General features: G+C 50.0%; 2 protein-coding genes, 1 long non-coding RNA gene and 4 other non-coding genes across 18 annotated transcripts in view, besides 4 other annotated features; 2 read left to right on the plus strand and 5 right to left on the minus strand.

Annotated features, from left to right (window-relative positions):
- Positions 1-2,635, plus strand: part of TRNAU1AP (tRNA selenocysteine 1 associated protein 1) — a 25,461-nt gene extending 22,826 nt beyond the window's left edge. For both annotated transcript variants that reach the window (NR_003109.2, NM_017846.5), the window contains one exon: positions 1,590-2,635. Coding sequence is in view for 1 of the 2 variants with exons in the window: in NM_017846.5 (NP_060316.1) it covers positions 1,590-1,726 (137 nt within the window). In the remaining variant the exon portion in view is untranslated. The remainder of the gene's footprint in view (positions 1-1,589) is intronic.
- On the minus strand, positions 2,628-7,073 carry SNHG12 (small nucleolar RNA host gene 12). 8 transcript variants are annotated; one of them, NR_146382.1, is made up of 6 exons: positions 6,180-7,073; positions 5,201-5,319; positions 4,650-4,736; positions 4,002-4,071; positions 3,623-3,677; positions 2,628-2,770 (listed from the first exon to the last, which is right to left on the minus strand). It is a non-coding gene; the product is annotated as a small nucleolar RNA host gene 12 (long non-coding RNA). The 8 variants fall into 8 exon arrangements; NR_146383.1 differs by lacking the exon at positions 6,180-7,073 and adding an exon at positions 5,680-5,963 and having other exon boundaries at positions 4,032-4,071; NR_024127.2 differs by lacking the exon at positions 6,180-7,073 and adding an exon at positions 5,680-5,963.
- Positions 2,833-2,912, minus strand: SNORD99 (small nucleolar RNA, C/D box 99). Its single transcript, NR_003077.1, has one exon. It is a non-coding gene; the product is annotated as a small nucleolar RNA, C/D box 99 (small nucleolar RNA).
- On the minus strand, positions 3,854-3,983 carry SNORA61 (small nucleolar RNA, H/ACA box 61). The gene has a single exon (NR_002987.1). It is a non-coding gene; the product is annotated as a small nucleolar RNA, H/ACA box 61 (small nucleolar RNA).
- SNORA44 (small nucleolar RNA, H/ACA box 44) lies at positions 4,471-4,602 on the minus strand. Its single transcript, NR_002976.1, has one exon. It is a non-coding gene; the product is annotated as a small nucleolar RNA, H/ACA box 44 (small nucleolar RNA).
- Positions 4,669-5,454: an enhancer, noted in NCBI's record as "H3K27ac hESC enhancer chr1:28907091-28907876 (GRCh37/hg19 assembly coordinates)". NCBI's record gives its function as "activates a minimal SCP1, AML or CMV promoter by ChIP-STARR-seq in primed H9 embryonic stem cells {active_cell/tissue: H9 hESC(primed)}" and the evidence as "EXISTENCE:reporter gene assay evidence [ECO:0000049][PMID:30033119]".
- SNORA16A (small nucleolar RNA, H/ACA box 16A) lies at positions 5,010-5,143 on the minus strand. The gene has a single exon (NR_003035.1). It is a non-coding gene; the product is annotated as a small nucleolar RNA, H/ACA box 16A (small nucleolar RNA).
- Positions 5,455-6,240: an enhancer, noted in NCBI's record as "H3K27ac hESC enhancer chr1:28907877-28908662 (GRCh37/hg19 assembly coordinates)". NCBI's record gives its function as "activates a minimal SCP1, AML or CMV promoter by ChIP-STARR-seq in primed H9 embryonic stem cells {active_cell/tissue: H9 hESC(primed)}" and the evidence as "EXISTENCE:reporter gene assay evidence [ECO:0000049][PMID:30033119]".
- A 9,281-nt stretch (positions 7,074-16,354) lies between the features above and the next one.
- RAB42 (RAB42, member RAS oncogene family) lies at positions 16,355-20,756 on the plus strand. 4 transcript variants are annotated; one of them, NM_001385188.1, is made up of 2 exons: positions 16,355-16,834; positions 20,464-20,756. In NM_001385188.1, the coding sequence occupies exons 1-2, from the start codon at positions 16,602-16,604 to the stop codon at positions 20,549-20,551; spliced, it is 321 nt and encodes a 106-aa protein (NP_001372117.1). In that variant the 5' UTR covers positions 16,355-16,601; the 3' UTR covers positions 20,552-20,756. The 4 variants fall into 4 exon arrangements, with proteins under 4 accessions (NP_001372117.1, NP_001180461.1, NP_689517.1 ...); NM_001193532.3 differs by lacking the exon at positions 20,464-20,756 and adding an exon at positions 17,784-19,539; NM_152304.3 differs by lacking the exon at positions 20,464-20,756 and adding an exon at positions 17,784-19,539 and having other exon boundaries at positions 16,355-16,489.
- Positions 16,496-16,565: a silencer, noted in NCBI's record as "silent region_544". NCBI's record gives its function as "represses an Ori minimal core promoter by ATAC-STARR-seq in GM12878 lymphoblastoid cells {active_cell/tissue: GM12878}" and the evidence as "EXISTENCE:reporter gene assay evidence [ECO:0000049][PMID:35858748]".
- Positions 17,347-18,083: an enhancer, noted in NCBI's record as "H3K4me1 hESC enhancer chr1:28919769-28920505 (GRCh37/hg19 assembly coordinates)". NCBI's record gives its function as "activates a minimal SCP1, AML or CMV promoter by ChIP-STARR-seq in naive H9 embryonic stem cells {active_cell/tissue: H9 hESC(naive)}" and the evidence as "EXISTENCE:reporter gene assay evidence [ECO:0000049][PMID:30033119]".
- Positions 20,757-22,992: the final 2,236 nt, after the last annotated feature.

Raw genomic sequence — 22,992 nt, forward strand, 5'->3', positions numbered from 1 at the left:
AGTGCAGTGGTGCCATCTCTGTTCACTGCAACCTCTGCCTCCCGGGTTCAGGTGATTCTCCTGCCTCAGCCTCCCGAGTAGCTGGGACTACAGGCGTGCACTGCCATACCCGGCTAATTTTTTGTATTTGAGTAGAGACAGGGTTTCACCATGTTGCCCAGGATGGTCTCAATCCCTTGACCTTGTGATCTGCCCACCTCGGCCTCCCAAAGTGCTGGGTTTACAGGCATGAGCCACAGTGCCCAGTTTTTTTTTTTTTTTGAGACAGAGTCTCACTTTGTTGCCCAGACTTGAGATCAGTGATGTGAACATGCCTCACTGCAGCCTCGACCTCCTAGGCTCAAGTGATCCTCCTGCCTCAGCCTCCCTAGTAGCTGGCACTACAGACACAGGTCACCATGCCCAGCTAATTTTTTTTTTTTTTTTGAGATGGCATCTTGCTCTGTTGCCCAGGCTGGAGTGCAATGGCGTGATCTCGGCTCACTGCAACCTCCGCCTCCCGGGTTCAAGCGATTCTCCTGCCTCAGCCTCCCGAGTAGCTGGGACTACAGGTGCCTGCCACCACGCCCAGCTAATTTTTCTATTTTTAGTGGAGACGGGGTTTCACCATGTTGGCCAGGATGGTCTCGATCTCTTGACCTTGTGATCTGCCTGCCTTGGCCTCCCAAAGTGCTGGGATTACAGGCGTGAGCCACCGCGCCCGGCCGAGACGGGGTTTTGCTCTTGTTGCCCAGGCTGGAATGCAGTGGTGCCATCTCGGCTCACCGCAACCTCCACCTCCTGGGTTCAAGCAATTCTCCTGCCTCAGCCTCCCGAGTAGTTGGGATTATAGGCATGTGCCACCATGCCCGGCTCATTTTGTATTTTTAGTAGAGATGGGATTTCTCCATGTTGGTCAGGCTGGTCTTGAACTCCCGACTTCTGGTGATCTGCCCGCCTCGACCTGCTGAAGTGCTGGGATTATGGGCATGAGCCACTGTGCAGAAAAAATTTTTAATAGTATTTTACCACCAGGGACAGGGACTCATGCCTGTAATCTCAGTACTTTGGGAGGCTAAGGCGGGAGGATCACTTTAACCTAAGAGTTCAAGGCTGCTGTGAGCTGTAAGTGTGCCACTGTACTCTAGCCTGTGTGACAGAGCAAGACCCTTTCTCTAAAGTACATACACACACACATACATACATACAGGACTTGGCCTTTCAGCTCCTATATTTGACTGAAGTTCTTCCACTATGCACTTATTGTCAGTTCTTGAGATGATGCTCTGGACTTAATAACTTTGATCAGACCTTCTAAACCCAAATTTGAAGTGAGGACCAGACCAGAAAATCTAGGATACATGATGGCTAGAGACACAGGTGTAGCTTTTAATAGATGCAGGCTAACAGCTGCCATTTTCCCATTCTCTAGATACATTATTCTATTTTCATCTTCCCCAGAACCCTGCAAGGCAGTGCTTTCACTTCCTGAAAGAAACTGGCAGGATAGGGACCTTACCATAGAACAGAGTTCTGGGAGAAGGGAACTGAACCAGGTCCCTTGCAGCTGTCCCTAGACTTCCCTGACCCCATCCTTGCTTGCTTTCCAGACCCCATGCCACAGCTGGATGTGACTGAGGCCAACAAGGAGTTCATGGAACAGAGTGAGGAGCTGTATGACGCTCTGATGGACTGTCACTGGCAGCCCCTGGACACAGTGTCTTCAGAGATCCCTGCCATGATGTAGCCAGGCCAAAGGACAAGCCAGGTTGCATGATGTGAGGGAGATGAGAGACTCCTTTTTAAAAATTGTGAAACCTTTTTGGAAATATGATTTGTAAGATTTTAATAATGACTGTTTTTGGAGATCATGAATGTTTCTACAACACTGCTGCATTCATTTGACCATTTGAGTTTGAAGACCAAGGGAACAACTTTTAAACAAGGTTCAAATTGGTTTCCTTCACAGGAATCCTTTGTCCAGGTAGTTATCCACATAGGACAGTTTGGGATTATCCAAAACTGGGATGAGCAGCTTGGGATAATTCACACACTAAAGCCTGAGTTCAAGGTTTCTCAGTTGACAGGTAGGTATGTAAATCAGGGTTCTCTGGAGTATTTGTAGGACCTGCCATATTTGAGTCCTAACTTGGTGCAAGTCTGGCAGCTAGGTAGAAAAGGCACTCTAGCAGGTGTGGTAGGAGCACGCCCCAGAAGGTAGAATGTGGTGGGGTGTGATGGAACAGGCCAGTTGGCCTAAGAATTAGTACTTGCTCTAATAATGGGTTTCATCTATTTTCATGAGTTGCAGCATCTGCATATACAAGGCCTGGATCACTTTAGGATCAATATTTTGACACGGGAGAAGGCAGCTCAGAAAGGATTAAGGAAGATAGCTCAAAGCCAAAGCAGACCCTCCGTGTGAACTTTATACTGCTCACTTCCGTGTTTCCCAAGTAAATGGGGAAACTGTCCAACCTTGTCATGTGTTGGGACTTACTGCTTGAGGCAAAGCATTCATCCTACATCATAAAAAATCTCCAAAGATCTCTTTAAGGGCTGGGCATGGTGGCTCACTTTGGGAGATGGATTGCTTGAGCTCGGGAAGAGACCAGTTCGGTCTCTACAAAAAAATACAAACACAAATATACTTTTATTAGTCTTTTTATTCTTCTTTTATTGATCACCTCTGAAGTTCAGTAGCACACTGCATAATTTTTTGCATTAGCATGCTGTTGTTTCTACCTAAAATGACCGGGGTCCTTGCCTTCTGCTTCCCATAGAGATTGTCCTGCAAAGGAAGTGTAAGCCATTGTGTTACTAATTCCCAGATTTCCCCCACCCAGACATTTTCCTAGGAGCTGGTCTCAGTCCCATATCCGCATTTCTCATCCATGGATGTCCACTCAAATTAGGTTTCATCCTGGACCAGTCATTCTAAATACAGTGTGTGCTACATGGAACCCCTTGTTTCTACCCCACTCTCAACTCTCCCTAATGCTGAGAGACGTCCCACCAAAGAATGCATCATGAGCTCCAGCCACCACTGAACATTTGTGGCTACCAGGCCTTGTGGCCCACGGTGCCCTCTGATGCCTTCAATGCATTTTAGGGTGGGTAAATCATGTTCTAACCATCTTTGCCCTCTGGTAATGAATAGCTAAGGGCACACGAGGGAGGCCAAATGTAAATGTTACTAAGATGCTAAGACTTTCTGGCCCGGCACAGTGGTTCATGCCTGTAATCCTAGCACTTTGGTAGGCCAAGGCAGGCAGATCACTTGGGGTCAGGAGTTCAAGACTGCCCTGGGCAACGTGGTGAAACCCTGTCTCTACTAAAAATACAAAAATTAGCCAGACATAGTGGTGCGTGCTTATAGTCCCAGCTACTCAGGAGGCTGAGGCAGGAGAATCACTTGAACCTGGGAGGCAATTAGCCAAGATTGTGCCACTGCACTCCAGCCTGGGTGACAGAAAGACCCTGTCTCAAAAAAAAAAAAAAAAAAAGCTGTAACTTTGACACAGACCTAAGTAACCTTATAGTTCTATTAGGTTGACTACTTAGGACAGGATCCCAGATAGTTGAGCACTACCTGCAGCTACACACCAAGTTGTGACAAAGCTTTGGGTAGTCACTAACTTACCCAACTCCATAGGTCCATAGTCACAAATGAGGACAGCTTTACATGTAACATGAATCTAAAAGAAAAAAACACCACCCTTAATTAAGAGGCAAGGAAGCTATGACAGATCCCTCCCAAATGCAGTAATAGGTCAGCTATTACTATACCAACCTCCAGAGCTTCACACGCATCCTTCCCTTAGCCTAAGATTATACTTCATTTTACAATTTCAGAGATCCAACCATCTCTGAAACCTGTCTGAAACTAGCCCACATGCCATATACCAGATTACAACATTTAGGCCAGCTTCACTATTACTTTTCCTCCTTTTACGACCACCAAGACCAGTGTTCAGATCCGATGGGAAAGGGATCAGGAGGATTAAGCTGATCAACTTTACCTTAAAGCACAGCTCCAGAAACAAGCTCACCTCCTCAGTATCACACACTGCCAGGAAACTTGGGGGCAACCTGCAGAACAAAAAGCTTAGCGTGAAAACTAAACTGGCCAGGAGCGGTGGCTCATGCCTGTAATCCCAGCACTTTGGAAGGGGAGGCCGAGTCGGGCGGATCACCCGAGGTCAGAAGTTCGAGACCCATCTAGCCAACATGGTGAAAACCATCTCTACTAAAAATACAAGAAAATTAGCTGGGTGTGATGGTGGGCACCTGTAATCCCAGCTACTCGGGAGGATGAGGTAGGAGAGTCGCTTGAACCCAGGAGGCAGAGGTTGCCATGAGCCGAGATCATGCCACTGCACTCCAGCAGCCTGGGTGACAGAGCAAGACTCCGTCTCAAAAAAAAAAAAAAAAAAAAACCCATCTACATTGAAGTTGACACATGGAAGGCTTCCAGCCCTGGTCCTGAAACATTATAGGAAAGCTGAGTGGCAGCTTGCAGGTATTGTACTGACCTGCGCTGTCAAAGTCTTTCCAGGTTGCTCTTGCATGCAGTTGGAGATCCCATGGCTATGACCAGCCACAGCCCTTGGAAACATGCTGTTCTGTCCCACCAGGCAGCCCCCAGTTAGTCTCCAAAAGAAACCTACCAGGTCCCCTGCATTTCATCACTGTCATTACCCCGGAAGTCCTCGATCACCAGAAAAATCACCTTCTGTCATCTTAAGAGTCTTCATCTGGACAGCAAAATGAGAACAACTGTCATGAACAATTTTATTGTTCCCATCATTTGGTCCTCAGAATGATACAAATCTGACCAGCCTTTGGTCCCAATACTGATGCCTTAAGCTATCAGTTAAGCTGTGTCACATCCCAGCTGGATTTTCCCAGTACGAGTCTTATGCTGGTTAACTGTACATGCAAACCCCCAACCGTTCTGCTGTTCTGTGGAAACAAGCCCATTTTGATAAAGGTCTCTGGCTACAGCTGAAAGGTGGCAGGTACAATGGAACTGTATTTTCCCAAAATGTTGCAGATCAGTTACAACAAACAGAACGGCGACCGTCAAGGAAAACTGTCACTCTGGGCTCCTTTTTGACCACAGCAGCTATGCGGAAGCAGCTGCAGCTTCGATAAGGGCCAAGGGGCAATTCAGATCCCAGGGCGGCCGCCTAAAGCCTCACCTGTCCATCATTACTACCTGCTTAAGTACGCCGGGATCTCTGTAGACTAAGTCAGTCATCCTGTAGGCCCCACTGCCCACGCTGTGCCAATAGCTGGTGTGCTTTTTCTCAGTCTTGATGGGACCGTTTTATCCGCCTATTACAGGTAAGAGGTTTAGACCGATTAAGTTACTTCCTGAAGGTCGCTTAGTCACTTAGCGAGGCTGAAAGCAACAAGCTGGGATGCACGCAAGGGTCTGAATGCCTAAAACCCGTCCTTCTGAAAACCGTGTCTACCAGGGCGACCTCCAGAGGTCTCGCGCGTAGTCACCAGTCCCAAAATCACCTAGCTGGTAAATGTCACAGATTCAACTGGAGGCCATCCTGACACCAGCATGCGGCCTCCCCCTGAATTAAGACACTTCAGGCCCAGGGATTCATCCCCGCATCCCCCAGGAGACCGGTTCCCAAACCCCCACCCCTTCCGTAAACCCGGCCGCCTGCCTGCAACACTCACCTGTCAGCCCAGAGCGCAGCGTTGCGCAGTCCGAAGCGAGAGAAGGGCGCGGCCCCCGCGGGCTCCCGCCCCTCTCACTGCCGAGGGGGCCTTTCGGAGCTCGGGCCCACCGGGTTGGAAGGCCCGGCTCCTCCGTGCCACATTCACCACCATCTCGAGGCCGTGGGAGGAAAAACCCGGCGAGTGCGCGCCAGCAGCAGCGACTAGCGGGGAACGGCGCGCAGGAAGGCAGGCAGAGGCTTGCAGCTAGTAAGTCGACACCGGGAATGCGGCGGGGAGAAAGGGCGCTGAAGCCGCGAGCAAGAGCTTATATAGGCCGCCCCTCGCGGCCACACCCGACAGTAGGCCGCCCGCGTGGCGCACAGCTGCCTGGGAGTTGTAGTTTGCTCGCCCCGGCGTTGTCCGCGCGTCACCTCCCCAGCCCTACGCGCGTGTCCATCCCGAGCCCGCGAAGCGAGAACCGCCAGAGGCTTTCCTCCGAGCGGAAGAAGCGCCTTCACCTTTCAGTGCCCGGCGCTGGGCCCACGCAGGAAGCCGACCCGCCTTGGCCTCTGGAGTTGTCTCTGGGATGTCTTTCAGTCTGGAAATGAACCCTGTGTGCTGGGAAAGGGCTCGGGCTCCGCTCCGAGCTCAGTGGGCGTGCGAGCGAGCAGCGCCTGAGTGGGTTTCGGGGAGGGGGTCATACTCCCCGAAAGGCGATTTATTCAAGGCTTGTCTCTTCCACTAATATGTAATTTTACTGAGCGCGTGCTATTTTAACTGTGTCTGATTATCTGATCTAGTTTTCATAAAAACCCTGTGTACGCTCTGTGGACAAATAAGGAAACTTAGGAATGGATCACACAGCTATCGCAAGCGAGGAGAGGACTGGAATTTGGAGCCCACCCCAGGCACCACACATAGCGCAATGTTTTGCCCATGGAATGAATAAGCCTCAGTATGAAAACTTAGTGGTGATTGCCGAGAATTAAACACCCATCCTGTGCCTAATCTATTAATTTTTATTCTTACATACACTTTTTTGTTTGAGACAGGGTCTTGTTCTGTTGCCCAGGCTGGAGTGCAGTGGCGTGATCAAGGCTCATTGCAGCCTCGACCAACTGGGCTCAAGCAATTCTTCCACCTCAGCCTCCCAGGTAGATGGGACTACAGGTGCGGGCCAACTTTCCTTGCTTACACTTTAAAAAGTAGGTACTACTGCCGGGTGCGGTTACTCACGCCTGTAATCCCAGCACTTTGGGAGGCCAAGGCGGGTGGATCACGAGGTCAGGAGATCGAGACCATCCTGGCTAACACGGCGAAACCCGGTCTCTACTAAAAAAAAATACAAAAAAAAATTAGCCGGGCGTGGTCGCGGGCGCCTGTAGTCCCAGCTACCCGGGAGGCTGAGGCAGGAGAATGGCGTGAACCCGGGAGGCGGAGCTTGCAGAGAGCCGAGATCGCGTCACTGCACTCTAGCCTGGGCAACAGAACGAGACTCTGTCTCAAAAAAATAAAATAAAATAAAAAGTAAGTACTACTTTAGCAGGTCGTGGGGGCGCATGCCTGTGGTCCTGGACTCCTCTCTTTCTCTAACATCACATGTCCAAGCCATCAGCAACTCCTGTGTGCTCTACCTTTAAAATGTATCAATAATCTGACTGTTTCTTACCCCTTCCACTGATGTTACCCTAATCGTTGACCCAGATGATAGCAATAGTCTCTTATCTCCCAGATCCTGCTGTTGCTCCCGACAGTCTGGTCTCCACACGCCAGCCAGCCTGCTAAAAGTTTTTTAATTTTTATGAAGTCTAAGAGTCAATTTTTTTTTTTGTAGTTTATGCTTTTTTTTTTTTTTCTTGAGACGGAGCTGCTCTGTCGCCCAGGCTGGAGTGCAGTGGCGCCATCTCAGCTCACTGCAAGCTCCCGCTCCCGGGTTCACGCCATTCTCCTGCCTCAGCCTCCCAAGTAGCTGGGATTACAGGCGCCCGCCACCACGCCCGGCTAATTTTTTGTATTTTTAGTAGAGACAGGGTTTCCCCATGTTGGGCAGGATGGTCTCGATTTCCTGACCTCGTGATCCACCCGCCTCGGCCTCCCAAAGTGCTGGGATTACAGGCACGAGCCACCGCGCCCGGCCGTTTGTTTACGCTTTAAAAGCTTAATAATTATGCTGGGCGCGGTGGCTCCCACCTGTAATTCCAGCACTTTGGGAGTCCGAGGGGGCAGATAACCTGAGGTCAGGATTTCAAGTCCAGCCTAGCCAACATGGTGAAAACCCGTTTCTACTAAAAATACAAAAATTAGCTGGGCGTGGTGGCAGGCGCCTGTAATCCCAGCTACTTGGGAGGCTGAGGCAGGAGAATCGTTTGAACCTGGGAAGCGGAGGTTGAAGTGAGCTAAGATGGAGCCATTACACTCCAGCCTGGGCGACAAGAGCGAGACTCCGTCTCAAAAAAAAAAGAAAAAAAGTAAAATTATTAAACTTTTTTTTTTTTTTTTGGAGATGAAGTCTCGCTTTTTCGCCCAGGCTTGTGCAGTTTATTCTGTGTCAATTATGCCTCAATAAAGCTGTCAAAAAACCATTAAGAAAAAATGTATATCTCCCAGGCGCAGTAGCTCCCACCAATTCGGGAGGCCAAGGCAGGTGGATTACCTGACATCAGGAACTAGAGACCAGCCTGGCCAACATGACAAAACCCCATCTCTACTAAAAATACAAAAAAAAAAAATTACCCAGGCATGGTGACACTCATCTACAGTCCCAGCTACTTGGGAGGCTAAGGCATAAGAATCGCTCGAACCTGGGAGGCAGAGGTTGCAGTGAGCCAAGATCATGCCACTGCACTCCAGCCTGGGTGATACAGCGAGACTCCCTCTCAAAAAATATATCTATATATATCTATCTATATCTATGTGTGTGTATATATAGATAGATAGATATACATATTATATTAAGGCAGATGCAGTGGATCACCTGTAGTCCAGCTACTTGGGAAGCTGAAACAGGAGGATCACTTCTGTCCAGGAGCTGGAGGTCAGCCTGGGCAACAAAGTGAGACCCTGCCTTTAAAAATAAATAAGGCCAGGCACAGTAACTCATGCCTGTAATCCCAGCACTTTGGGAGGCCAAGGCGGGTGGGTCACGAGATCAGGAGTTCAAGACCAGCCTGGCCAAGATGGTGAAACCCCGTCTCTACTAAAAATATAAAAAATTAACCAGACATGGTGGCGGGCGCCTATAATCCCAGCTACTCGGGAGGCTGAGGCAGAGGTTGCAGTGAACCGAGATCGTGCCACTGCATTCCAGTCTGGGCAACAGATCAATATTCCATCTCAAAAGTAATAATAAAATAAAAGTAAATAAATAAGTAACATGTATTTTTTAAAACTTTTTTTTTTTGAGACGGAGTTTCCCTCTTGTTGCCAGGCTGGAGTGCAATGGCACGATCTCGGCTCACTGCAACCTGTACCTCCCAGGTTCAAGTGATTCTCCTGCCTCAGCCTCCTGAGTAGCTGGGATTACAGCACCTGCCCCAGGCCCGGCTAATTTTTTGTATTTTTAGTAGAGACGGGGCTTCTCCATGTTGGTCAGGCTGGTCTTGAACTCCCGACCCCAGGTGACCTACCTGCTTGGCCTCCCAAAGTGCTGGGATTACAGGCATGAGCCAGGCCTAAAAAACATTTATATCATGTTATTCACTTGCTCAGAAATCTCCCATGACTTCCCAACACACTTAGAATAAAAACGGCAATCTCCATAATGGTCTCCAAGGTCATACGTGATCAGGCTCCTCCTCCTTCCTGCCCTCATCACGCACCACTTGCTCCCTCACTCAGTCAGCTCCATCTTCCTGGACTCTTTGCTCTTCTTGAAGCACCCCAGGGCCTTTGCTCTTGCCTGGAACTCGCCCCACCTGAATATCACAGACAATCACACTTCTTAAGCCTCACTTCCCCTGGGTTTCTGTCCACACGTCACCTCCTCAGGCCATCCTATTTTGATACAGCACCCCTCCATCCTCCAACCTTCAAGTCACTGCCTCCTTGATTGTTATTTACAGCACTTAGTGCTTCCTGACATGGTATTATATATGTATTTTGTTTTCTGTTTTCCCTATTAGAATGTGAGCATCCCAAGAGAGCTGGAATTTTGTCTTTTTTCCCCCCTACTGCTGTATAAATGCCTGGTACATAAAAGATGGCCAGCATTCTTGAAATAATCACCAAGTGGGCCGGGCGCGGTGGCTCACACCTGTAATCCCAGCACTTTGGGAGGCCAAGGCGGGCAGAACACGAGGTCAGGAGAGCGAGACTATCCTGGCTAACACAGTGAAACCCTGTCTCTACTAAAAAACAAACAAACAAAAAAAAAAAACAGGCTGGGCGCAGTGGCTCAGGCCTGTAATCCCAGCACTTTGGGAGGCCAAGGTGGGCGGATCACCATCAGGCCTCTGAGCCCAAGCTAAGCCATCATATCCACTGTGACCTGCACATATACATCCAGATGGCCTGAAGCAACTGAAGATCCACAAAAGAAGTGAAAATAGCCTTAACTGATGACATTCCACCATTGTGATTTGTTTCTGCCCACCCTAACTGATCAATGTACTTTGTAATCTCCCCTATGCTTAAGAAGGTTCTTTGTAATTCTCCCCACCCTCAAGAATGTACTTTGTGAGATCCACCCCCTGCCCAGAAAACATTGCTCCAAACTCCAGCTATCCCAAAACCTGTAAGAACTAATGATAATCCCACCACACTTTGCTGACTCTCTTTTCGGACTCAGCCCGCCTGCACCCAGGTGAAATAAACAGCCTTGTTGCTCACACAAAGTCTGTTTGGTGGTCTCTTCACACAGACGCATGTGACATTCACGAGGTCAGGAGATTGAGACCATCCTGGCTAACACGGTGAAACCCCGTCTCTACTAAAAATGCAAAACATTAGCCAGGCATGGTGGCTGGCGCCTGTAGTCCCAGCTACTCGGGAGGCTGAGGCAGGAGAATGGTGTGAACCTGGGAGGCGGAGCTTGCAGTGAGCCAAGATTGTGCCACTGCATTCCAGCCTGGGTAACAGAGGGAGACTCCATCTTGGAAAAATAAAATAAAATAAAAAAATTAATTAAAAAAATTAGCCAGGCATGGTGGCACGCGCCTCCCAGCTACACGGGACACTGAGGCAGGAGAATCGCTTCAACCTCGGCGGAGGTTGCAGTGAGCCGAGATTGTGCCACTGCACTCCACCCTGGGCAATAGAGTGAGATTCTATCTCAAAAAAAAAAAAAAAAAATCACCAAGTGAATGAATGAATGAATAAAACTTGGCTGAGGTCACACTGTAGCAGGACGAGCCGCAGAAAAAACCTCTCAGACACCGAGTTGTAGAAGGAGGGGCTTTATTCAGCTGGGAGCATCGGCAAACTACTGCCTTAAAATCCGAGCTCCCCAAATGCACAATTTCTGTCCCTTTTAAGGGCTCACAACACTGAAGATTTCACATGAAAGGGTCATGATTGATTTGAGCAAGCAAGGGGTACGTGACAAGGGCTGCATGCACCGGTCGTCAGAGAGAAACAGAACAGGGTAGGCAGTTTCACAATGTTCTTCTATACAATGTCTGGAATCTATGAATAACATCGGTTTCTAAGTCATAAGTTGATTTTTAACTACTAGGTTTAGGCCAGGCAGGCCCAGGTCCGGTTTTGGGCCTGGCGCTGGGCTGCCTGTCTTTGTTTCATTTCCTTTTTTTTTTTTTTAAAAAACAGGTACTGAGTATAAAACAATATAAAACAATATGAGAGGGTCTCTCTCTTCCCTCATTTTCCCCCTTTGAGACTCTCACTTTTTATTAGTGGGAGTACTCACTCTTATTTTTGCTACTTATGTCTTTTTGTGCAACAGATAGATAGTGATTCATATAGTACACTTGTGCTGAAGCATTTTGGTGAACTAAGGTAGCAATGAAGCTTTTTATCATTTAAAGAAGTACAGGTAGCAAACAAGGGAGCAGTAAGCAGGTTTTTATTGCTATTATAACTCCTATTATAAGAGTTTTAAATCTTCCTAGTGCTGGGAACCACCTTCTAAACATGGCTTCAGGGTTGAATCCGTGCTACACTTGCACGGGTACATGTGCCAGTTTTGTTATGTCTTTAACTATGTCCTCAACTACTTGCCCCTGATCATCTATGTGTAGACAACAATTAGTAAAGTTAAATTTTCTTTTTTTTTTTTTTTTTTTAAGAGACGGGGTTTCACTGTGTTAGCCAGGATGGTCTTGATCTCCTGACCTCGTGATCTGCCCACCTCGGCCTCCCAAAGTGCTGGGATTACAGGCGTGAGCCACCGCGCCCAGCCAATAAGGTTAAATTTTCTACAAATTCCTCCTTCAGCTGCTAGCAAGTAGTCAAGAGCTAGTCTATTTTGATAGATCGCATTTCTCATCAGAGTCTCTTGCCAGGCAAGAACAGTCAAGGCTTGACTGGTTTTATTAGTAATAATTTCTAAAACAGCTTGCAACCGTGTGATTCGGTTGAGCATGCAGATGGGGGTTCGATATCCTCATGAGCCATCTTGTGCCTAAGTGGCGGGTCTATAGTATTGTACGATTCTTTCAGGGGGCCATTCATTATTTTTCTAATCACCTATGGCTATGCTTCGTTTTTCGTGGGAAGCATAGACTGGGAAGCCTAGAAGTTCACCTGTTTTTATGGGCAGTAAGAAGAAAGATGGCTTAATGGTGCTAATTACACAGCTACCTGTCCACTGATCAGGCAGCTTAGCATAAGCTCTGTGTCCACATATCCAGTATAACCTGGTGGGGGCCATCCAGTCCCAGTGGAATTCTGGGTGGGCCCAAACAGTCTGCAACTTTGGAAATTTACTGAATGGATTTCTTTCTGTGTAATTGGAATTCCACCATGTAACTGTTTTTGTGGTACCATTATACAGCTTTTGCCTAAGACAACTAAGCCGTCTTACAGGATGAGTGAATCCTTTTCCTTCTCTAGCTATGCAATACTGTCCAATAATTGAGACTTTCAGAACCCAAAAATTGTCAGGGTGGTTCTTTTGGGCTGGGAATTCATCAGGAACTGGGCCTGTGGGAACTAATTCTCGGGCTTCCCATGGCCATTGATCTCCTGTTACGGTTCTTCTACAAACATAACATGAAGTGACATTTAGAGACTGGGCTACATGCTCGGCTAATTTCAAAAACAAATTTTTAGTTTTTCCTGGAATCTCAGATACTGGCACATTTAATTTATCATAGAAAGTCTGAAATACTGGTTCTGGAGAGCGTCTTTGAACCTCTCCTTTTATTAGGATGCTTACACTAGGATCTAGTCCTTTTCCATCAATGCCTAATGTTACATATTTTCCTTTATTCTACTTTGGGTCTGAGGGGTTTGTGATTATCAATTCTAAAGGGTTGCAGCTCCCACTCATGCAGGAGGGGCTGATTTTTCCTTTTTGGAGCCAAACAGGATCTTTTTAAATCTTCTTTCCAAGTAGCCCAAATGACACAAGACCAGTATTGACACATCTCACATAAATATGATTTTTGACAAATGTACTTATTTTCTGCTGTGTAACTTTTTTCCCAATCTAGAGAACCGCATCCTATCCCATGCTGTTTACTATTAATAGCGGCACAGGCGTCAAATTTTAAGGTTACATTTTTGGGGACCCCTCTTTCTTCTGTCCTAGCTATTACTTCACTTGTGTCACCTAGAAAAGGACCAGTCCTTAGTCTTACTTCAAAGACTGTGATCATGGGAGGTTCAGAGGGGTCATAGCACACATCGGACTGGTCACTTCCTGGATTACATACTTTGTACTGAATGTTATTGTACGAACAGGTTCCTTTTGGAGTTCCTAGGCATTCATAAAAACTATAAAATAATAGGGCTGTAGCACTCTTTTGTCCTACCTCAGTGACCTGATGTATATACTGGGAACAGCCCTCAGTCTGAAGAAGGTCAGTTGAAGTCCTTACTGTACAAGTCCAGATTTTAAGGAAAATGAGTCCCGCGATGAGTTTCCTCATGCTTTGGCCGCGCGTGGACCAGTCAGCTTCCGGGTGTGACTGGAACAGGGCTTGCCATCTTCTTCAGAGTCACTTTGCAGGGGTTGGCGAAGCTGCTTCCATCCACGTACAGCTCCCAGTCTACTGATGTTTAAGGGTGGTCTCGGAGGTTGGGCCTACTAGAATAAACTGAGTCCAACACCTCTACACAGGGTCTCTCTCTTCCCAGTAAGTGGCCGTTGGAACTACAACCCAGGTCTGTTTTTTGTGTGTGTGTGATGGAGTATCCGAAGTGTAATGGTGCAATCTAGGCTCACTGCAACCTCTGCCTCCCGGATTCAAGTGATTCTCCTGCCTCAGCCTCCCAAGTAGCTGGGACTACAGGCGCGTGCCATCACGCCCAGTTAATTTTTATATTTTTAGTAGAGACGGGGTTTCACCATGTTGGCCAGGATAGTCGTGACCTCCTGATCTGCCTACCTCAGCCTCCCAAAGTGCTGGGATTACAGGCGTGAGCCACCGCGCCCAACCCAACCCAGATATGTTCTAATGCAAGTGCAGATAACCTTAACTGCTGTGTCACGCGGCTCCTCCAGAACTACCCTGTGAGATTAGGTACCGTGATTTGCCTGACTTAGCAGAAGAGGAAGCAGGGATCAGGGAAGGGAAATAACTTACCCCAGGTTACACAGTGAATCTGTGGCAGAAGTCATGGCAGAAGTCAGCTGACATCTGGATTTAACTGCAGTCAGAGGCAGACACATGATCCCAGCCCACAGCAGGAGCATCTGGGAAAGGGAGGAAGTTCAAGAAGCCAGATGCTGACAGTGCATTGCCCACGTGGGCTGACTGGAAAGGCCTCAGGGAGGGCTGGGGTCAGACTGCATTTCCAGCTGCTTCATGCCTCTCTGGATTCTCCTTTCTCCTTGACCTTCCCAGATCCCACTTATCCTTGGAGACTCAGCTTCAACATCAGCTGGGATGGGCTTCTCTGACCCTTTGGCTTCCCAAGTCCAGCTCTATCATGGTGTTTGACGGAATGAATGGATGGGTGAATGAACAGCACTTACCCACTTTCATTAATTCATCTAGCTATAAATATTTACTGAGCTTCTACTTTGTTTATTATTATTTTTTTTTGAGACGGAGTCTCGTTCTGTCACCCAGGCTGGAGTGCGGTGGCGCAATCTTGGCTCACTGCATCCTCCACCTCCCGGGTTCAAGCGATTCTCCTGCCTCAGCCTCCCAAGTAGCTGGGATTATAAGCACGTGCCACCATGCCCGACTAATTTTTGTATTTTTAGTAAAAACGGGGTTTCACCATGTTGGCCAGCTGGTCTCGAACTCCTGACCTGAAGTGATCCACCCTCAGCCTCCAAATGTGCTGGGATCACAGGTGTGAGCCACTGCGCCTTGAGTTTCTACTTTATGCCAAGCGCTGAGTTAGGCCCTGAGGATACAATCATCAGCCCCTGCCCTCAAGGAGCCTGCAGCCTGGGAGAGAGACTGACATCAGAGATGGTCAGAAGTGCATGTGGGCCAGACGTGGTACAGGTTCACACCTGTAATCCCAGCATCCCAGCACTTTGGGAGATGGAGGCGGGCGGATCACTTGAGGTCAGGAGTTTGAGACCACCTTGGCTAACATGGTGAAACCCCGTCTCTACTAAAAATACAAAAATTAGCTGGGCGTGGTGGTAGGTGCCTATAATCCCAGCTACTTGGGAGGCTGAGTTGGGAGGATGGCTTGGACCCAGGAGGTGGAGGTTGCAGTGAGCCGAGATTGTGCCACTGCACTCTAGCCTGGGCGACAGAGTGAGACTCCATCTCAAAAATAAGTAAATAAATAAAAACGAGACTAGAGAGACTAGAGTTGGCTGGAGCAACTGGAACTCCAGCCTCAGTGCCCTGGGTTTCCAGAAGGCCAGCCTGGAAAGGGTGGAGTAAACCTTGGAGGCTCATGTGCTGCCTCACCCTAGCCCCTCACCCAAGCAAAACTCAACCAGTGTCTTAGTGCTTGTGGGACCTGCTTTGTCCCCTTTTGTGGCATCGAAGGGGTGATGAAGGATGAGACAAACCTGGATGTGAGTCCCAACTCTGCTGTGTGACCTGAGACAAGCCGTGCCTCTGAGCCTCAGTCTCCTCAGCTCTAAGAGGGGCACTCCCATGGCCCTGTCAAAGGGTTGCTGTCCACAAAACATGAACTGACCGTTGGCCTCATACATGTTAGTTGTCGAATCCACAGGCCAACTGCACTCCCTTTAGAACTGCAGTTGTCTGTGTCTGTCCTGCCTCCTCAACCAGACTGTGCCCAAGTTCCTTCTGGGGCCCTGGTGTCCAACTCAGACAGGCATTAGAGGAAGCCGTGGGGGCTGTTGAACGTTGAACCTGAACACTGAACTAGAGGCCCCAGGCCGGGGCTAATGAGGGCTCCAGGAAAGGGCTTCTGGGTGGAGAGGGAGCATCTACTAACCACTCACTTCCAGAGTGGCCTTCCCGGGTCCAGCAGAGGGTTGGGCGCCAACTAGGGAACCCACAGAGGAGGCGGGGGGTGGGGCGGGGGAGCGGTGTGGAGCGGGTAAGGGGGTGGGGCTGGAGATTAAGAAATGAGTGAGGTGGATGCTTCAGCGCTGTTAGTCTCCTCCCCATGCCCCTCCTCACTTCATCTAGTTTAGTCCCTTTATCCTGTGAAGTAGGGGTCATCATTAGCCCCCTTTTACAGAGGAGAGAATTGAGGCTTCGAGAGAGAGAAACTTGGCCAGGAGTTTCCACTCGGTCCGACGCCCTCGGTGCCCCGCCGGGTACGGTGGCTGGGCGCGGGGAGCGGGGGGCGGCGCCGGCGGGGCCCCGGGCAGGGGCGGGGTCGGGGCGCGGACAAAACCGCCGCGGGGCGGCGGGGTGGCGGACGCGGCCATGGAGGCCGAGGGCTGCCGCTACCAATTTCGGGTCGCGCTGCTGGGGGACGCGGCGGTGGGCAAGACGTCGCTGCTGCGGAGCTACGTGGCAGGCGCGCCTGGCGCCCCGGAGCCGGAGCCCGAGCCCGAGCCCACGGTGGGCGCCGAGTGCTACCGCCGCGCGCTGCAGCTGCGGGCCGGGCCGCGGGTCAAGCTGCAACTCTGGGACACCGCGGGCCACGAGCGCTTCAGGTGCGGGTAGCCGGGGCGCGGGAGGGACTTCTGGTGGGGGGCTCGGTGAGCGTGCTTTAGGCCACGGCAACTCCCGAGAGGCCAACTCAGAGGTCAGGCGGAGGGCGAGGTCCCTGCCCTGGGTCCCGCCCGGTCCACTGGGGCCAGAACCTCCCCTGCTCGGAGTCATTTTTCCCACGAACACTGCGGGGTGGGTCGAGTCCCAGAGACCAGGAACATCCCTGGCTTTGAGCTCTGGACTCTGGAGAGATGCTGAGTGATACTGGCCCCGGGTGCTGAGAGCTCAGGGGAACAGAGCGGGAAGTGTCGAGGAGATGTGGAAGGGAGAGAGGATCAGCAGGAGTTTGCCAGGAAGAGAACAGAGGAACGAAGACCTAGGTCAGGGCAGCACCAGGCCTTCTCCAAGAATGAGGGATTCAAGTCACGCTTGCTCCCTAACTGGAGCACCCAGACTTTTTTCTTTTCTTTTTTTTTTTTGAGACGGAGTCTCTCTCTGTCGCCCAGGCTGGGGTGCAGTGGTGCGATCTTGGCTCACTGCAAGCTCCGCCTCCTGGGTTCACGCCATTCTCCTGCCTCAGCCTCCCAAGTAGCTGGGACTACAGGCGCCCGCCACCACGCCCGGCTAATTTTTTTGTATTTTCAGTAGAGACACGGGGTTTCACCGTGTTAGTCAGGATGGTCTGGATCTCCTGATCTCGTGATCCACATCCACCCGCCTCGGCCTCCCAAAGTGCTGGGATTACAGGCGTGAGCCACCGCACCCGGCCAGCACCCAGACTGTTAGGAGAGACACAGACACCGAGGCAGAGAACCACGGGGCCGTGTGAAGTGAGCCCTGTTGGGGTGTGAGGCATTCTGTGGATCCCAGGGGGAGGAGGTCCTGCCTCTGGGGGTGTCATGGAGGCATCAGCCTCTCCCAGCTTACCTTTCCACCTCCCTGCCTCCCCAGGTGCATCACCAGGTCCTTTTACCGGAATGTGGTGGGTGTCCTGCTGGTCTTTGATGTGACAAACAGGAAGTCCTTTGAACACATCCAAGACTGGCACCAGGAGGTCATGGCCACTCAGGGCCCGGACAAGGTCATCTTCCTGCTGGTTGGCCACAAGAGTGACCTGCAGAGCACCCGCTGTGTCTCAGCCCAGGAGGCCGAGGAGCTAGCTGCCTCCCTGGGCATGGCCTTCGTGGAGACCTCGGTTAAAAACAACTGCAATGTGGACCTGGCCTTTGACACCCTCGCTGATGCTATCCAGCAGGCCCTGCAGCAGGGGGACATCAAGCTAGAAGAGGGCTGGGGGGGTGTCCGGCTCATCCACAAGACCCAAATCCCCAGGTCCCCCAGCAGGAAGCAGCACTCAGGCCCATGCCAGTGTTGACTCTAGGAGAGAAAGGGTTAAAGCAGTCCCAGCCTTAGCCCACCTGGTGGGATGGGGAGTGTTAATATCTCTCTGGAGGACAAATGACAGAAGGGTTCATATAAACAGTATCCTGACACAGTCATGCTTCCTGGATTTTGGAGTCGAGGCTTTCTACAGAAAAGAAAGTTCTGATGGCCAGGCATGGTGGCTCACGCCTGTAATCCTAGCATTTTTGGAGGCCAAGGACAGTGGATCACCTGAGGTCAGGGGTTCGAGACCAGCCTGGCCAACATGGTGAAACCCTGTCTCTACTAAAAATACAAAAATTAGCCAGGCGTGGTGGTGCATGCCTGTAATCCCAGTTACTCCAGAGGCTAAGGCAGGAGAATTGCTTGAACCTGGGAGGCAGAGATTGCAGTGAGCCAAGACTGCGCCACTGCACTCCAGCCTGGGCAACAGAGTGAGACTCTGTTTCAAAAAAAAAAAAGAAAAGAAAAGAAAGGCCTGAGAGACCAGATGTGCAACTTCCTGTCCTTGAGCCTCAGTGTCCCTATCTATCGATGGGGCTCATAAAAGATCCCACCTTGAAGGGAGGTGGTGACCACAAATGAGACAGTGGACAGGATGTGCTCACCCAGAGCCTGCCGCGCTGTGAATTGAATGACAAAAGCTCTCATTCCCACTCCCTTTTTCTTGGCTGCGATGTGGCCACTCTGGCAGCATTCCTGGGCTCAGACACTGAGAAGCCAGCGTCAGGAAGCTGATGCATGGGCAAAGGCAGGTGCGGGGAATTCCAGGGGGAGCTTGGCTTGGAGGCTTCTTATGTCCTCAGGCTAAAATGATTCTGGGCATGGGATTAATATGTGACGTCAAACCCAGGGTTGCTGGCCAATGCCCCCCCGACCAGGCCCAGGGGCTGAAAAATGGATGTTGGAGGCTGGGATGAACATGAATGTGTAGCAACTATGTTGGGCACACAGTGGCCACTGTGATGAGCCACCAAGATCCCCCTTTCTGGCTGGGGAACCCATCAACCCTCTCCCCAGCTGCTGGAGTGCCACTGGATGATGGACTTCAGCTTGCCCCACTCTCTGGGAAAGGCCCTCCCTTCAGGGCAGCTTGTATCCAAAGTTCATCTCCTGGGGGGCCTTAAAGGACTCCCTCTTGCCCCAGCTCTGGACAACTCTGAAAGTCAAAACCAACTTTATCAGTCTCTGTGGGCTTCATTGAGGACACTGTTGTGACATCATAGCCAAGTTATCCCCTTGCCCAATCCTGCTTCCTTTTCTTCCCCAAACAGGTATCCATTTCAAGAATATCCCCTAATAAACATCTGCACACTCATCTCCATCTCAGAATCTGCCTCCTGGTAACCTAACCTATGATGGGAACTGCTAGGCAGGGAATGTCCTGGGAGCAATTAGGGAAGGCTTCATGGAAGAGACACTGTTTATGTTAGGCCGAATCTCAGCAGGTGTAGGGCTTAGTGGGTATCATTGTGCTGTAGCAAAAAGCACAGCCACTTTGCTGGGTGCAGTGGCTCACGCCTGTAATCCCAGCACTTTCGGAGGCCTAGGCAGGCAGTTCACTTGAGGTTGGGAGTTCGAGACCAGTATGGCCAACACGGCGAAACCCTGTCTATACTAAAAATACAAAAATTAGCTGGGTGTGGTGGCTCATGCCTGTAATCCCAGCACTTAGGAGGCTGAAGCATGAGAATTGCTTGAGCCCAGGAGGCAGAGGTTGCAGCGAGCCACGATCCCGCCACTGCACTCCAGCCCTCTAACTTGGGTGGCAGAGCAACACTCCGTCTCATAAAAAAAGAAAAAAGCATAGTCACTTAACTCTCTTTTGTGACCTTGAGCTAGTTACTTGGCCTCCTTGAGCCTTGGTTTCCTCCTCAGTCAGTAACATGAGACTGATAATCCCTCCCTCCTAGGGTTCTTAGAAGGTTTTCAGAATGAGTTTCTTAGCTTCCTCCCCATGGAGAGGGGGCTGAGGGGTCTTCCTGTGCACTTGGTCCTGCCTCTTTTTTTTTTTAAACCCATAAAAATTCACCTGTTTTATTTTGTGGGGGGTGGGGAATATCCATTACCTCAGACATTTATATTTTATTTGTATTACAAACAATCCAGTTATACGTTTTTATTTCTAAATGTACAATAAATTACTGTTGACTGTAGTCACCCTGTTGTGCTATCAAATGTTAAATCTTATTCATTCTATTTAACTGCATTTTTGGCTGGATGTGGTGGCTCACGCCTGTAATCCCAGCACTCTGAGTGCCGAGGTGGGCGGATCACCTGAAGTCAGGAGTTCGAGACCAGCCTGGCCAACATTGGTGAAACCCTGTCTCTACTAAAAACACAAAAATTAGCTGGACATGGTGGCATGTACCTGTAATCCCAGCTACCGCGGAGTCTGAGGCAGGAGAATCACTGGAACCTGGGAGGCAGAGGCTGCAGCGAGCTGACACCGTGCCACCGCACTCCAGCCTGGGCGATAGAGCGAGACTCCATCTCAAAAAACAAATAAATAAAAATAAAATAAAAATAAAAACTATGTTTTTGTACTCATTAGCCATACCCACTTCCCCCCACCACTACCCTTCCCAGCCTCTGGTCACCATCATTCTACTCTATCTCCATGAGTTCAATTGTTTTAATTGTTAGCTCCCATAAGTAAGTGAGAATGTAAAAAGTTTGTCTTTCTGTGCCTGGCTTTTTTCACTTATAATTCCAGTTCCATCCATGTTGTTGCACATGACCTGCCTCTTCTTTTTAAACATCCTTATTCATCCTTGTGACGTGGTGAGGTTGGCACAATCATCCCCATTTCACAGATAAGAAAGCTGGGGCCAGGAGAGGAAAATTACTTGCTTTAGGGTATCTTTTCATTCCTTCATCGTTTTTTTTTTTTTTTCCTTAGATACAGGGTCTCGCTCTGTTGCCCAGGCTGGAGTGCAGTGATGCAATCACACCTCACTGCAATGTCGACCTCCTGGGCTCAAGTGATCCTCCCACCTCAGCTTCCCAAGTAGCTGGGACTACAGGTGCACTTCACAAAGCTAACTTTTAAATTATTTGCAGAGACAGGGTCTCACTATGTTGCCCAGGCTGGTCTCACACTCCTGGCCTCAATCAATCCTCCTGCCTCAGCCTCCCAAAGTGCTGGGATTACAGGTGTGAGCCACTGTACCTGGTCTCCTTCATCAATTTTCTTTCTTTTTTTTTGAGACAGAGTCTTGCTCTGTCGCCCAGGCTGGAGTGCAGTGGGGCGATTTCGTCTCACTGCAATCTCTGCCTCCTGGGTTCAAACGATTCTCCTGCCTCAGCCTCCCAAGAAGCTGGGACTACAGGTGTGTGTCACCACACCAGGCTAACTTTTGTATTTTCAGTGTTTCACCATGTTGGCCAGGCTGGTCTCGAACTCCCGAACTGAGGTACTCTGCCTGCCTCGGCCTCCCAAAGTGCTGGGATTACAGGCATGAGCCACCGTGCCTGGTCCGTCAGAGGCTTATTATTATTACTTTGAGGTGGAGTCTTGCTCTGTCACCCAGGCTGGAGTGCAGTGGCGCAATCTCGGCTCACTGCAACCTCTGCCTCCTGGGTTCAAGCGATTCTCCTGCCTCAACCTCCTGAGTAGCTGGGACTACAGGCGCACGCCACCACGCCCAGATAATTTTTTGTATTTTTAGTAGAGATGGGGTTTCACCATGTTAGCCAGGATGGTCTCGATCTTCTGACCTCGTGATCCACCCGCCTCAGCCTCCCAAGAAGATGGGACTACAGGTGTGTGCCACCACACCAGGCTAACTTTTGTATTTTCAGTAGAGACAGGGTTTCACCATGTTGGCCAGGCTGGTCTCGAACTCCCAACCTCAGGTGATCCACCCGCCTTGGCCTCCCAAAGTGCTGGGATTACAGGCGTGAACCACTGCGCCCAGATGCTTCATCAATTTTTTTTTTTTTTGAGACAGAGTTTCACTCTTGTTGCCCAGGCTGGAGTGCAATGGCACGATCTCTGCTCACTGCAACCTCCGCCTCCCAGGTTCAAGCGATCCTCCTGCCTCAGCCTCCCTAGTTGCTGGGATTATAGGCATGCGCCACCACACCTGGCTAATTTTATATTTTTAGTAGAGATGGGGTTTCTGCATGTTGGTCAGCCCGGACTTGAACTCCTGACTTCATGTTATCCACCTGCCTTGGCCTCCCTAAGTGCTGGAATTACAGGCATGAGCCACTCCCAAAGTGCCTGGTCCGTCAGAGGCTTATTATTATTATTATTTTGAGGCGGAGTCTTGCTCTGTCACCCAGGCTGGAGTGCAGTGGCGCAATCTCGGCTCACTGCAACCTCTGCCTCCGGGGTTCAAGCGATTCTCCTGCTTCAACCTCCTGAGTAGCTGGGACTAAAGGTGCGTGCCACCACGCCCAGCTAATTTTTTGTATTTTTAGTAGAGATGGGGTTTCACCATGTTAGCCAGGATGGTCTCAATCTTCTGACCTCGTGATCCGCCCGCCTCGGCCTCCCAAAGTGCTGGGATTACAGGTGTGAGCCACCGTGCCCGGCCCTACCAGAGGCTTATTATTAAACCCACAGCAACCCCGTGAGGTTGGGCTGATCTTGTCCATTTCACAGACCTCAGCTCCAAGACAGAAAACTCATGTGGCTAAAGTGATGAACCCAGGCCAGCTCCAATAATCTTGTCCACTGCCTCAGGCCAGCCCCAGGGTGGGTCCTTTCTCAAACTTCAGCGCTCCAGTCCTACCCTCACTATCCCCCTCAGTGTGGCAAAATCTCGAG

The sequence above is a fragment of the Homo sapiens genome, chromosome 1 (assembly GCF_000001405.40).
Source record: "Homo sapiens chromosome 1, GRCh38.p14 Primary Assembly".
NCBI classification, from domain to species: domain Eukaryota; kingdom Metazoa; phylum Chordata; class Mammalia; order Primates; family Hominidae; genus Homo; species Homo sapiens.